General features: G+C 48.3%; 1 annotated feature.

The window, feature by feature from the left end:
- Positions 1–501: an enhancer, noted in NCBI's record as "H3K4me1 hESC enhancer chr7:105683076-105683576 (GRCh37/hg19 assembly coordinates)". NCBI's record gives its function as "activates a minimal SCP1, AML or CMV promoter by ChIP-STARR-seq in primed H9 embryonic stem cells {active_cell/tissue: H9 hESC(primed)}" and the evidence as "EXISTENCE:reporter gene assay evidence [ECO:0000049][PMID:30033119]".

Here is a 12,647-nt window from a genome sequence, read left to right on the forward strand (position 1 = left end):
GCGACCTTTCCCTAAGCAGCACATCGGTGTTACCGGGCACCGAGAGAGAAAGGTAAAAAGGAGAATGAAGAGGAATAATGGGAGGTGGGGAGATAGAGAGAGGCTGGTGGCCTGAAGACGCTTGCAAGGGGACTCCCCTGCCTGGGGGGCTGGCAGGAGCAAGCACAACCTTCATTCTCTCTAGCAGGGCCAACAAAGGGCAGCTGAATCACAGTATTTCTCAAGAAATAAAAATTCCTAGCACACCCCTGGGGCCTCGGGGAGAAAAACTGACAAGGTGTTGATTGAAAACATACCGCGCTGTGTGCGCCCACAGGGTGAGGCCGCGCTTGCACAGGTTCACAGCGACACCTAGTGGTCTCCTGGGGCACCTGCCGCCTCTGCAGAAATGGCAAGGTTGGTGGGCCACAGGGTGACTGGGTTCCTGGAGGAGATTTGGGGTCCAAATCAGACATTTCCTCTTTTCCCTTGCTGTCAGCACGCATATTTTGCACAACTGTCCACCCTCCAACTGTGTGAAACATGTCGGTATTCTGAGGAGAGTCAGGGGTGGGGCCGGGGGCCATTGGTAAAAGACTGGACTTCCTGGTTGGACACGGTAGCTCACTCCTGTAATCTCAGCAATTTGGGAGGCCGAGGCGGGCGGATCACTTGAGTCCAGGAGTTTGAGACCAGCCTGGCCAACATGGTGAAACCCCGTCTCTACTAAAAATACAAAAATTAGTCGGGCGTGGTGGCACGTGCCTGTAATCCCAGCTACTCGGGAGGCTGAGCCAGGAGAATCGCTTGAACCCAGGAGGTGGAGGTTGCAGTGAACCAAGATCGCGCCACTGCACTCCAGCCTGGGCAACAGAGCGAGACTCTGTCTCAAAAAAAAAAAAAAAGAAAAAAAGAAAGACTGGACTTTCTAATGTTCACCCCAAGACTAACAAGGTATGCATATCCAACTGGCTCTGCACCATCTAGATTTTCTGAAGTGGTCACTATTTCCTCTAATTTTATTCTCTTCATTTATTCAATATAACTAAAAGTATTTAATGGTGAAATCCTCAGATGGCTTTTACACAAATGAATTCTCCAGTCACAGAAATTTCTTTGTTGTCGACCTGCTCAGAAAATAGAACAACTATACTTCTATATTAGGTCAAAGACCTTGATGTCCATAGTGAACCTGATCAATAAATCTGCTTAGAAATGAAAACAATGCATCTCTTTCTGGATAATAGCACTTGAACATTTTTGTTCCCTCCCTGGCCTCCTCTCATGCCATTTAAGCCTTGGCTAATTTCCTTGTCTGAAGGCCCCCTGGAGACAGAGCATATCCAGTGTGAGCACAATGCCTGAGACATCGTTGATACTCAAAAATGATTTCTTACTGAATGGCTTCAGCTCCTGATGGAGCAGCAGATGCCACAGGAGGAAGGTCAGAGAGTTCAGTCCTCCGTGAAGCGCTGCCAGAGGATTCCAGACTCTGAAGGGAAATGATCAGACTAGCAAGACCCTTGCTAGGGTGTCCCTACCTGCAATCCAGCTTCTTGTTAATAGCTGGGGATGACTTGTGGTTAAGTGGTAGCCCAGTGTGGCATTTGCAGAGTTCTGGAACAAGGCTATTAAATGTCTGTGGGCTGGCACTCCTGAGAGGGCTCCATGTGGCCATGCTTTCCAGACCCCCTCAAAAGCCCCACTGGAGCCTTTCCTTGTAAAGAAGCCATGAGCTTCTGTGAACCAATCCTGCTGGGATGAAAACCATTGTCTCCAAGCTAAATTTTATCCAAATTACATTGGCCAAATTGTGTTGCATTAACTGGGTTTCTTTCTGGTTGCAAAGAACAGAGAATCATAGGTTTATTGGGATATAACATGTGAAAATAAAGAGTTGGCTCCATTGCTCAGTCTGTCCAGAACCCAGAAGAAGCAGAAGACCTCACTTCTCAGGGGTGGTGTAGTATAATAGATATTAGTCATATTGGTGCCACCCCAACATCATTTGAAGAAACTTCTTAAATTTGGAAAATACGCCATGTGAGGGGTGCTACCTCACCAGGGTGGAGATCAGAACTCAGTTACTCAGACTCCTCTGCAGCTAGGACACAGGCATGTGACATAGGCTCTGTGGATTGGATGCAGTATGATGAGATTTCAGTCTGGAAGAGTGAAAAGCCAGGGAGAAGCTGCTGCATGGAATTGTTCTTGGTGATGGGGCGGAACATGGTGGAGGGACATGGAACCCCAGAGGCAGCAGAGACAGAGATGATAATAGTAACATGCACCAAAGGCAGTGGGATCAAGCCTGTGACCAGACAGGTGAGGATTTGGGTATTGTTTGTGGCTGCAGAGTGCCAACCCCTATTTCTCCGACCTTGCTGGAGAGTCTGTGAGCCACTAATATGCGTCCATAAGTTCTTTTCTGTTTAAACAAATCAGAGGGGATTTTGTTGTTTGTAGGTAAGAATCCTGATTGATAAAAGCCTAGTGAGGACTCAGGGAGACTGTGATCAGAAAGTCATTTAGCATGCAAGGCATCTGTAAGAGGTTAATGTCAGGAGTTCAAGGATCTTTGCTCCGGAGAGGTTGTGCTCAACTATTTTGTTTGGGGCTGAGGCTGTTGTTACTGCCTGTTTAACATCCCTTAAGCAATAACCATTTTCTACTATTAGGTCCTGTATTCTGGTGGGGCTGACATCATGCCCTAGCTCCAGAACTGGGCATATGACCCAGGCCAGGCCAATCAGATCACAGCTTCTCCTTGGCTCTGTTAATTGGTTCAGGGATGGATACGTGTTCCAAGGTGGACCATTGAGAACTACCCCTGGGACTTGTGCTGTAGATCTAGGGAATTATTCCTTATCTGCTGATGCTGCTAAGCTGGAAGGAGGTCAGTAGGAAGCATGAAGCCAATATTGGTTACCTTGTTGAGTGTGGGAAGAGCCTGCCAACCAAAGAATAATGCCAACTGAAGGAAAGAAAAATAAGAAGAGAGAGAGAAACAATAATTCCTGATGATGTTGGGTATTTGTATGCAGCCATCATTGAAGTCTGTTCTATCCCTAGATTTTTCAGTGACATGAACCATCAGATTCCTTTGTAAGTTAATTTTGAGTTGAGTTTCTGTTACTTGAAACCAAAAGGTCCTGACTAATACAATGGCACATGTTCAAATATCAGAATTTTTGGCAAGCCTTTAGAAGAATTAAATAACATCCTTGGTTATTATAGCGTTAACTTGGTTACTCTGCAAGCCCATGTCTTTGAGAATAACTGTTATGGCCCCAACTGTGCTCTCTTCTGTCCTCACAAGACAGTTTTCACACATTCTGGGAAACTTGGTTGTGTTGGCACACACTTATCATTATACTCTACCTCTTCCCTCCGATGTGCGTGTTTGGGATTCTCCCATTCTACAAGGAGTATTCCTCTCAACATTCTGTCCAACAAGCACTGTTGTAACAATACATATCCTCAGTTGCAACAAAAGGTGCATTTTCTACCTTGAGCACAATGTGTTAGCCACCTGTGCAAGGTATGCCGCCAGCTGCTGTGGGTGTGCAGAGATATTTGGGTTCAGAACCACTGGTCCTAGGGCTCTGGCATCAATATGACTCTCTGCCTTCGCTCTTCACTCACCTCTTCTAAGTGTTTCTTCAGGACTTTTGTTCTGCTACCAGTTGGCTCATTTTCTCTTTATCTCTAAAATCAGTTTCCTGGCCAGGCATGGTGGCTCATGCCTGCAATCCCAGCACTTTGGGAGGCCAAGGCAGGAGGATCAGTTGAGGCCAGGAGCTTGTGAACAGCCTGGCCAACACAGCGAGATCATGTTTCTATAAAAAAAATTCTCTTTAGACCCTAAAATTAGTTTTCTCAGAAGGAAAGATAATTCAATGGATCTAATTGCCAATTTGAATTCTCATTTGGGCAGAGTTGGTTGAGCTGGGCCATATCAGACAATCCCACTAGTCCCTGGATAGGAGGTCTTGGGCAAGGCATCTGCCCCTGTCCAATCACAGCTGGCCAAGAGGAGGTGTGGGTCACATGGCTAAGAACAAGGCAAATGCTGAATGAGGGACAGCTTGGGGACACTTCCCTCCTTGGGGGCTGTGACTGGGCAGTTTTTCTTAGGCGAGAATGGTGTGTACGACAGCTACCATGATCGATGTGTCTGGTACATTCTCCCATCCTATAAATAATAAGAGAAAAGCAAGATGATGGCAGGGGACGGAATGATAATAATTATCGAGGACTGGCTTCACCTTCAGCACCTCACTTCTTCCTATGTCCCACTCGTCAGCTGTCTCTGGGAAAGTGATCAGCTTCCAGGAGCCAGAGGGCTCTTTGAAGGGCTGTGAGGAAAGAGGAGCTGCTCAGCATGCATTTCAATATCCTCAGCACGGAGCACATCACCCTCGCTGTGGGCCCAATGGCCTTTAGAGATGGTGAGAGTTGAGCTGTGGGCACAGAGTTGAGAGTTCAGTATTCTCAACTCCTTCTCTGAAGCCAGACAAGGACACATTTCCCCTATAGCCTCCCCCTGTAGCTGAGGGCAGGGCTGTGGATCCACATGCTGGCTCTGTCTTGTTCTTCTGAGTTTATCCTGTGGTTTGCACCAGTGTTCTACGGCAACTCCAGAACCCTCAGCTTCAAGCCAAAGTGTTTTCCAAATAACCAGAAGAGTCCACCTGGGAGGCCTGGCTCAGGCCAGCCCCACGTACGAGGGTTGGCAGCTCTGACATTAATTAACCGTGTGGCCTTTTAGTGAACTGAAAGACACTGGAACACTGCTTTTCTTAATAAAATAAAATCTTTAACCACCAGGGTTGACAGTAGGAGGAAATCTGATAGGGGTGGGGCTGTACTAGAAGTCTCCCTTGCCTGGTTTGAATGTTCTGGCCTTGTCCCTGGTTGGGACAGCGTATTAAGCTGGGGCAGCTACATCTTCCCCTGGGCTGACTTCTGCCAAAGCCTAGAACGTTGTCACTAAAGTTTAATTCCTTTTTGTATTTAAAGGCTCCTGGAGTCCTAGAGATGCAACTCTGCAAACCTTAGCAGTTTGTTTCTCCTAAGTTGTAGGGTCTTTGCTTAGGGTTGATTTATTTAATCCATCAGGTTCTGGTGATTTATTTGATTTTCTGTGCCAAATGAGTGTCTCGAGACAAAAAAGTGGTCTCTAGACTAAGTGAACAACACCAAGGTGACCTGTTCCCACTTTGGAGAAGACACAGCTTAATGGTTAAGAGTGTAGACTTTGATACTTGATGCCCTCGGGCTCAAATTTTGGCTCTGCAATTACGAACAGCGTGACCTTGAGTAAATTATTGAATAGGTTGGAGCTGTGTTTCCTACTGTGTAAAATGGGGTTGATGATGCCATAAGTCTGCCCCATAGCGGCATGTGTACATTAAGTGAGATCACGTGCACAGTAAGCACTCAGGAAAGACTCACTGTTTTTTCCAGCTAGGTGGAATTTCTCTGGGGAGCTATCAGATTTTTTTCCTAGAGACCTGCTGGGTGGCCCACACTTTGGAGCCCTTCCAGGTGGGGGTAGCAGAAACATCATAGGGGGGCATCATGGGTTTTCCCTCCCAGCTCTATTCCTTCTGCCTCTCGGTGCTTCAGGCCAACTGTTACTAGTTGCAGAGAGACGGCCAAGGCAACAGCAGGCTTGGAAGGTGCAAGCCTGGACTGGTCGTTCACTGAGTGGAAGGTGTTTGGAATGCAGAGGGGCATGAATGAGCCACCACTCTTTAGTTGGGGTTTTCATTAAGGACATGTTGCTGTTTGATGCCACTGGGCACAGGACTTTCAGAGCAGGGGATGGGCATAGGGGAGGAGTCCCCACTTCTGGCCATTCACCCTGGTCTTTGAACATAACCTGGCTCTGAGAAAGTGGCTCGACAGTACAGGCCCCCAAGCCCAGGATTTGGGAGACCTAATCTGGGCTCAGCCAGGCTTCTGTTAAGTCATTGATCTAAGGAGCTGGCAAATCCCTTAGGAGAGTATCTGGAATTGATGGCCCAGGCAAATCCAGGCTCTGCCTCTCAGTTTTGCATATACCTTATCGAATTTAATCCTTGTAACTATTCTGAGTTGCACAGTTTAGAGAGGAGGAAAGTCCCCATGGAGTTTTAAATCTGGAAGAACTTTGAGGTCTTCTGCTTTACCCTCTTGTTATGCAGATGAAAAAAGGAAAGCCCAGCAAGGGTGAGGTCACTCAGCTAATTAGGAGCAGAGCTAGAGCCAGATCTGGAACCTTGTTCTTTTAGCCGTGCACACTGTAGCTAATGCAGGCGGACCCTGTGCTCTCTTGAAAGGCAACTGCACTGCAGGCCCCATGTGTAGATTTAGGCTGCTTTGTGCCTCAACCCACATCCCCATCACCAGTGCAGCTTCAGGAATGGTCCTTGGTGGGGCAGAGGGGATAAAACCAGCCTGACTGACAGCTCCAGCTTTCAGCTACCCGAAGGAGTCTCTTCGAGTCCTTGCCAAGACCCAAACTGGGAATCTCAGACTTCGGACAAGAATTCTCCAACTGTGGGGATGAGTGCACCTAGGCTAAGCCAAGCACTCCTTGGCCTGTCTTGCGTTACCCAGAATTCCTGAAAGTGCTGGGACTTGGCTAGGTGGAATTTGAAAGTCTGACCTCTGGTTCTAACCTGTTAAAATAGTTGAGCACAGACTGTTTTCCCAGCACTGGGCTGCCTGTGTACCACCTGAAGTCGGGGGTAGAGGCCTTTGCACAGTGTCTGGCAGGTGCTCCATAGGAAGGGAGGGGAAACTCGAAGCAGGGGCAGGTCCCAAGGAAGACGGGGTGGCATTTTCACAAGAAAATCCCCCAGAAAGGGCGGCCGCCCCATGCTCTCCCCCATGGCATTGTGCCAGGCTGGCTATGCTGTGGCTTCCCTTTGGGTTCCCCTGGGTGGAAGGGTGCTCACTGAGGTGCCTTTTGGGTGACGTTGCCCATGCAAACACATTTCCCCAGAAACACATCTGCTCAACTGCACTAAAAATGGCATCTTGATTGACTTATTTAGCGTCCATTAAGTTCATACTCAAATTAACATGCAGAATGGGAGACAGGAGGGGTTACAACACCCGTAAGGGGTTAGAGAGGCATTTAAAATGGATGAAGATCTGTGTACCAGATGTTTGTTTCACCTAAATAAAACAAAATAATAAAACAGAACAAAACACTGCACCAAAAACGTTCTTTCTGGGAGCAGGGAGAGAAAGTTCCATGTCTCTCATCCCTTTTTCGGGCTTCACCCCAAGGTCACAGGTCCCTGCTGGTGTAGTGGTGGCCTGTAGATAGGCAGGGAGCCCCATTTCATTGTTGGAGTTACACAGGAGTGACTGTGGCAATCAGCACACAACAGACTCTTCAAAATCGTGAACAACTGGGGGGACCTTGCACATGGAGGGCCCACTGTTGAAAGAGCTGTGCTGCGGCTGGCCTCAATGCTGGGGAGCATGTGGCTCTCCTTGGGTCAGCAGAGCAAAGGTAGGGGCATCCAAGAGGGACCCTGGGAGCTCCTTGCATTGCTTGGACCATGAGCCAGCTGGGGCCTGGCTGCTTCCCAGCAAGAGGGCGCCCACGTTCCCTTTTCTGTGGGGCTGGAGGATTCCTCTTCACCCTCCCCATCCCTCTTCCATGCAGGAAGCATTGCAACATCTAGACAATGTCTGTATTAACTCCTCTGCCTGGAGCCAAGTAGCCTGTGTGGTCCTGCAGCAGAATACAGGCCCGTGCTGTCGGCCCAGCTCACCCCCACCCAGGAATGATTATGGAATGGGGGATGCACACTTGCTTCACCCTTCTTGCTCTCCTTTAGCTCCGTGAGTGCCCTACCCCCAAAGCATATTGCTTTACCGGTGCTGTGTGAGATTATAGAATTCTCAAACCTGGTTCATGACAGGGGGAAGCCCAGAATGGGCCTGCCTGGCAGGACACCGGGATGAGGTGTCTGGTTCCTCCCTGGGAGCTGCCCATGTGACGTGGATCAGAGGCCCTTCTGGAACCACCACCTCTAGGACAGTAAACTGTCGGTGACTGTAAGTAGCACCCGTAATGCCACCATCAGCCCCAGAGGCACAAAGCCGAGACAGAGCAGGAGTCTTGAAGGGGAGAACATTCATGGAGGAGGACTTCTGCGGGAAAAGGGGCTAGATCTGCCTTTGCCACTGCTCCCAAGACAGTCCTTCTCATTTTTCCCTGGTAATAGCTGCTCCCAGCCCAGCCCTCCCCCACATGGCACCTCAGCTCTCAGTCCGGCACTGCCTGCTTTACTGCTTTCCAAGTCCCATGGAAATGAATCATTCTGCTGGCTTGCTGGAGTGCACTTTCCTATCTTTCAGAAGCCAGTGGCCTTCGAGAATAACTGGCATTTCTCAGTCTGTGATAGAGATGTCCCTCTGTTCACGCCAAGGTGAGCTCTTCCAAGCATGTGCACGCAGCTCATGTGCCTGGGGAAATAAGCACTTTGCTACCTGGCAAAGCAGTGGGGAGGAGAATACTTTGCCTGGAAACCTGACCAGACCCTTAATGAATGTTATGTGTAAGCTTAGGCTGGGCAGTGTAGTTGGGAGAACAGGGAATGAGTTTCAGTTCCACAATTGTGCTCTGCTCCCTCACATCTCAGGGCCTTTTTACCTACAACCCTGCTGTCTAGGATTCAGCCATTCATTCCTTCAACACACGCTTGTTGAGTACCTCTTATACTGCAGGCTTACACTCTCATCTGCAAGGTGCTGAGTGAACAAGACACAGGCAATGGGGGTGCAGACAATGAAGGTGAGGTGTGGCTTGTCCCTTCTTCATCTTTTACTGGTGTCCTGTCTGTGGCGGTCACTATGAGGGCATCTGAACAGTGGTCTTGAGGCAGGAATTTTTACGCCTTAGCTCAGCGAGATCTGGGTTCTTGTCTCACGACCAGGAAAAATTAGGCACATGGACATCAAAGAGTGAGTGGAATAGAATTTATGAAGCAAAAAGGGAAGCTCTCAGCAAAAAGAGGGGTCCTGAAAGCAGGTTACTGGCTGGCCCCCTTCATAGTTGAATACAAGGGGCTTCTATAATCCACTGATGGGGCTGGTTTCCCTATTTGTATGTGGCGTGAATTCCTGGCACCCCCATCCTTCTAGTGCACATGCGGGCCCTTAGTCTGAGCCACTCCACATTGATTTATTTCCCTTATTGCGCGTGTGTTAAGGGACAGAAGTTTTCACTGCGAGCATGTTTAGGCAAGCCACCTGTGCACAATGACCTTGGCCGGTGGGAAGTTCTCTGGGGGCCCTCCCCTATCTGCCTAGGAGAGTGCTCTGTCTCCTGCCTCTGTCAGTCTCAGGGTTGATCAGCAGAGAATCCCATAGGGGTATAGGGGTAGAGAGAGAAAGGGGAGACTCGGGGCAATTCAGGAGGGCTGGAAGTGCAAACTCTCTCTTTCCTGATATTAATCAGACCAGGGCTTCACAAACTTTTGACCATGATCTATTACAATAAATATGTTTTACATTACAACACAATATAACATAGCTATATGAACATATACACAGGAAAATACACACCTGGCAAAATGTTATGAGACATTACCAACCTTTATTGTGTGTGAGGAACTGTGATATCTTTTTATTCTATTCTATTTGTTCTATTCTATCCAAAATGATGTTCATGAATTTTGCAGCCCACTAGTGGATGGCAAATGTCATTTTGAAAAACACTGAAGGGCCAGGCGTGGTGGCTCACACTTGTAATCCCAGCACTTTGGGAGACCGAGATAGGTGGATCACTTGAGGCCAGGAGTTCAAGACCAGCCTGGCCAACATGGCAAAATCTCGTCTCTACTAAAAATACAAAAATTAGGTGGGCATTGCACACCTGTAACCCCAACTACTCGGGAGGCTGAAGCAGGAGAATCGCTTGAACCCGAGAGGTGGAGTTTGCAGTGAGCTGAGATCGTGCCACTATCCTCCAGCCTGAGTGACAAAAGTGCATCTCCATCTCAAAAAAAAAAGAAAAGAAAAACACTGAAAGTAAAAAAGGGAAGACAGCTAACACTGCAGGAAAAAGTTACAATCAAATCTTATTTTGAATGCATTCAGGGAACCCTCTATTTAGATCACCAAGGTAAATTCTTCTGTAAATCAAATCAATCTATTCTTAATTTGTATTTAAGAAGACCAAGCCTTCTACTTTGGGGCTTGTTTAAAGCAAAATCCACCTTACTTGCCAAGTCAGGTCTGTAGCCATTTTTGCATGGTCCGTGAACTAAGAATGATTTTAAATGAAAAAAAAATCAAAAGAATAATTTCACAATACATGAAAATTATATAAATTCAGATTTCAGTGTGTCTATTCATTGGATCACAGACATTCGTTTGCATATTTTCTATGGCTGTTTTTGCATTAGAGGAGAGTTGAGTCTCTGTTTTAGAGGCTAAATGGTCTGCAAAACCTAAAATGTTTACTGTCCAGCCTTTACAGAGTTTGCCAACCTCTGGGTTAAAGTGTGGTATTTCTTATGCTGAGGTTGGAGTGACCCCCAAATAAATGGTTTTGCTGGTGAGGAGCCTTCAAAGGGCTGGCTGAATGAGAATGCCTGGCCTTCCAGAGCCTTCTTTGGCCAGCAGGAGCATCTGTGTGATGCCACTGTGCAGTGAACTCATCTTAACCGCATGAATGGGCGAGCAGCTGTCCAGCAGCTGCCCAGAGACCCAGACCGGCTCTCAGGTACTGTGTGGCCTGGCTGAGGGCATCTGGGGGCGGGGCAGGGGCTCAGTGGGTGCAGCCCTTGAAAAATTCACCAGAATTAGACTCTGATGTCTCCATTTGATCTTTTCTTCCCTCCTTGTCTTGCCTTTTCAAAAGGCGACTCTTTTCTGTGGCCTTTTCTTCTTTCTTTTGGCTTATATGATCCCTGCATCATTATTTCCCAAAAAAGAATGTGGCAAAGTAACTTTTTGAAATATTAATGAACCCCCTTTTTCCTTTTTTCCCCTCCCTCCCTCTCTCTCTCCCTTGTTTCCTTCCTTCCTTCCCTCCCTCCCTCCTTCCCTCCCTCCCTCCTTCCCTTCTTTCTGGCAAGGTCTTGCTCTGTCACCCAGGCAGGAGTACAGTGGTGCAATCACAACTCATTGCAGTCTCGATCTCCCAGGCTCAAGTGATCTTCCTGCCTCATTTTAAATTTTTCTGTAGAGACAAGGTCTCAATATGTTGCCCAGGCTGGTCTCAAACTCCTGGGCTCAAGTGATCCTCCCACCTTGGCCTCCCAAAATGCTGAGATTACAGGTGTGAGCCACTGTGCCTGGCCCGTCTTTTTTTTATTTTACCTCTCCTTTCCTCAAACTCTCTGCCTCCTCAGTGAAGCAGCTAGGCTGTTCTGTCCTCCTGTTTCAGGGGAGTAAGGGGTTGGGCAGGGAGTTTTTCTGTCTTAACTTCAGGGAGGCCTGAGAATTCTCAGCAGAAATTGTTTCAGCGAACATCAAAATAGAGCAAGACTTCTCCCACCTCCTTGAGGTGGGTAGGGAAGCAGAGAGGGATGCTCAGTGCAGAGGAATCAGTGAGTGAGGGGAAAAGACATAGCATCTGAAGACACAGAGGCCAGCACTCAGGACCTCCATCAGAGGACCACGTGAAAGGCAGGTTCAAGTCCACCTTGACCACTCAGCCTCCATTGCAGTCGGTGGCATCTAGTGCCACTGGCTGGCCTTCCTTCACTGTGGTGGGGATTTCTTTCTGCAGCAGCCAGTACTTCCTTGGTGACTCCATACAGAGCATGACACCGTCCCAGCCTCCAGCTTTGGTTCTTTCCCCATCTGACATGCCCTAGGAATTCACTGCCTTTGCAGTTTCACTGGATCTGAGTTAATCCAAGAGATAGACAAAGGGGTATTGAGTGAACAAGATGACCAGCACATCCTAGGTTCCCAGAGTTCCCAAAGCTGGGTTGAGACCTCACAGGCCGGGCTGGTGGTAATGCCCAGGGTGTGTGTGTGTGTGTGTGTGTGTTCGTTCCTTGGCACTCACATATGTTTGTGTGTCTGTGAGGCTGTGTGATGGGATCTGGGAACTGGTGGAGGATGAGAATAAAGGATGGAGCGCTAAGGAGTCAGGCAGGCAAAAACAACCCCCACACACCATGCGGGTGTATGCCTCCCGGGTCCCATGCACCTGGGTATGTGAACCCTGCCACCCTCCTGCACAAGAGCCCAGTCTACTGTGCCTGAAGAGGCTGGACCTGACGCCGGCCTTCCCTTTGCTTCATTTGTGAGATGCCGGCTAGTCCAGTCTGACTTCAGGAGAGCATCTCTGGCTTTTCTGCTCCATTCCTAGTTTTGGTTCTTCCTTAGGAGGCCCCGCAATGGAGGGAGGAATAGAGCAGAGAAGAGGCGGCATTTCCTCATCTCCCCACACTCTGGCCTAGGACCTTGTGATGACTTTCTCTAATTTCAGAGGTGGAGACAGACTTCTTCCAGCCCCCTCCTGTGAAGGGACAGTGGGGCCAACTTCCTTTCCTCTCCTGTGCCAGGTCTTAAAAGCCTGACCTGCATTTTGCAGAAGTCAGGACCGGCTTGAGTTCAATTACAGTAGATTGCTTGATCTCATTTATTTTCTCCTGTATGCTTGAAGTTAGGACAGCTTTAATTTGAAATGGAAATTT

The sequence above is a fragment of the Homo sapiens genome, chromosome 7 (genome assembly GCF_000001405.40).
Source record: "Homo sapiens chromosome 7, GRCh38.p14 Primary Assembly".
NCBI classification, from domain to species: domain Eukaryota; kingdom Metazoa; phylum Chordata; class Mammalia; order Primates; family Hominidae; genus Homo; species Homo sapiens.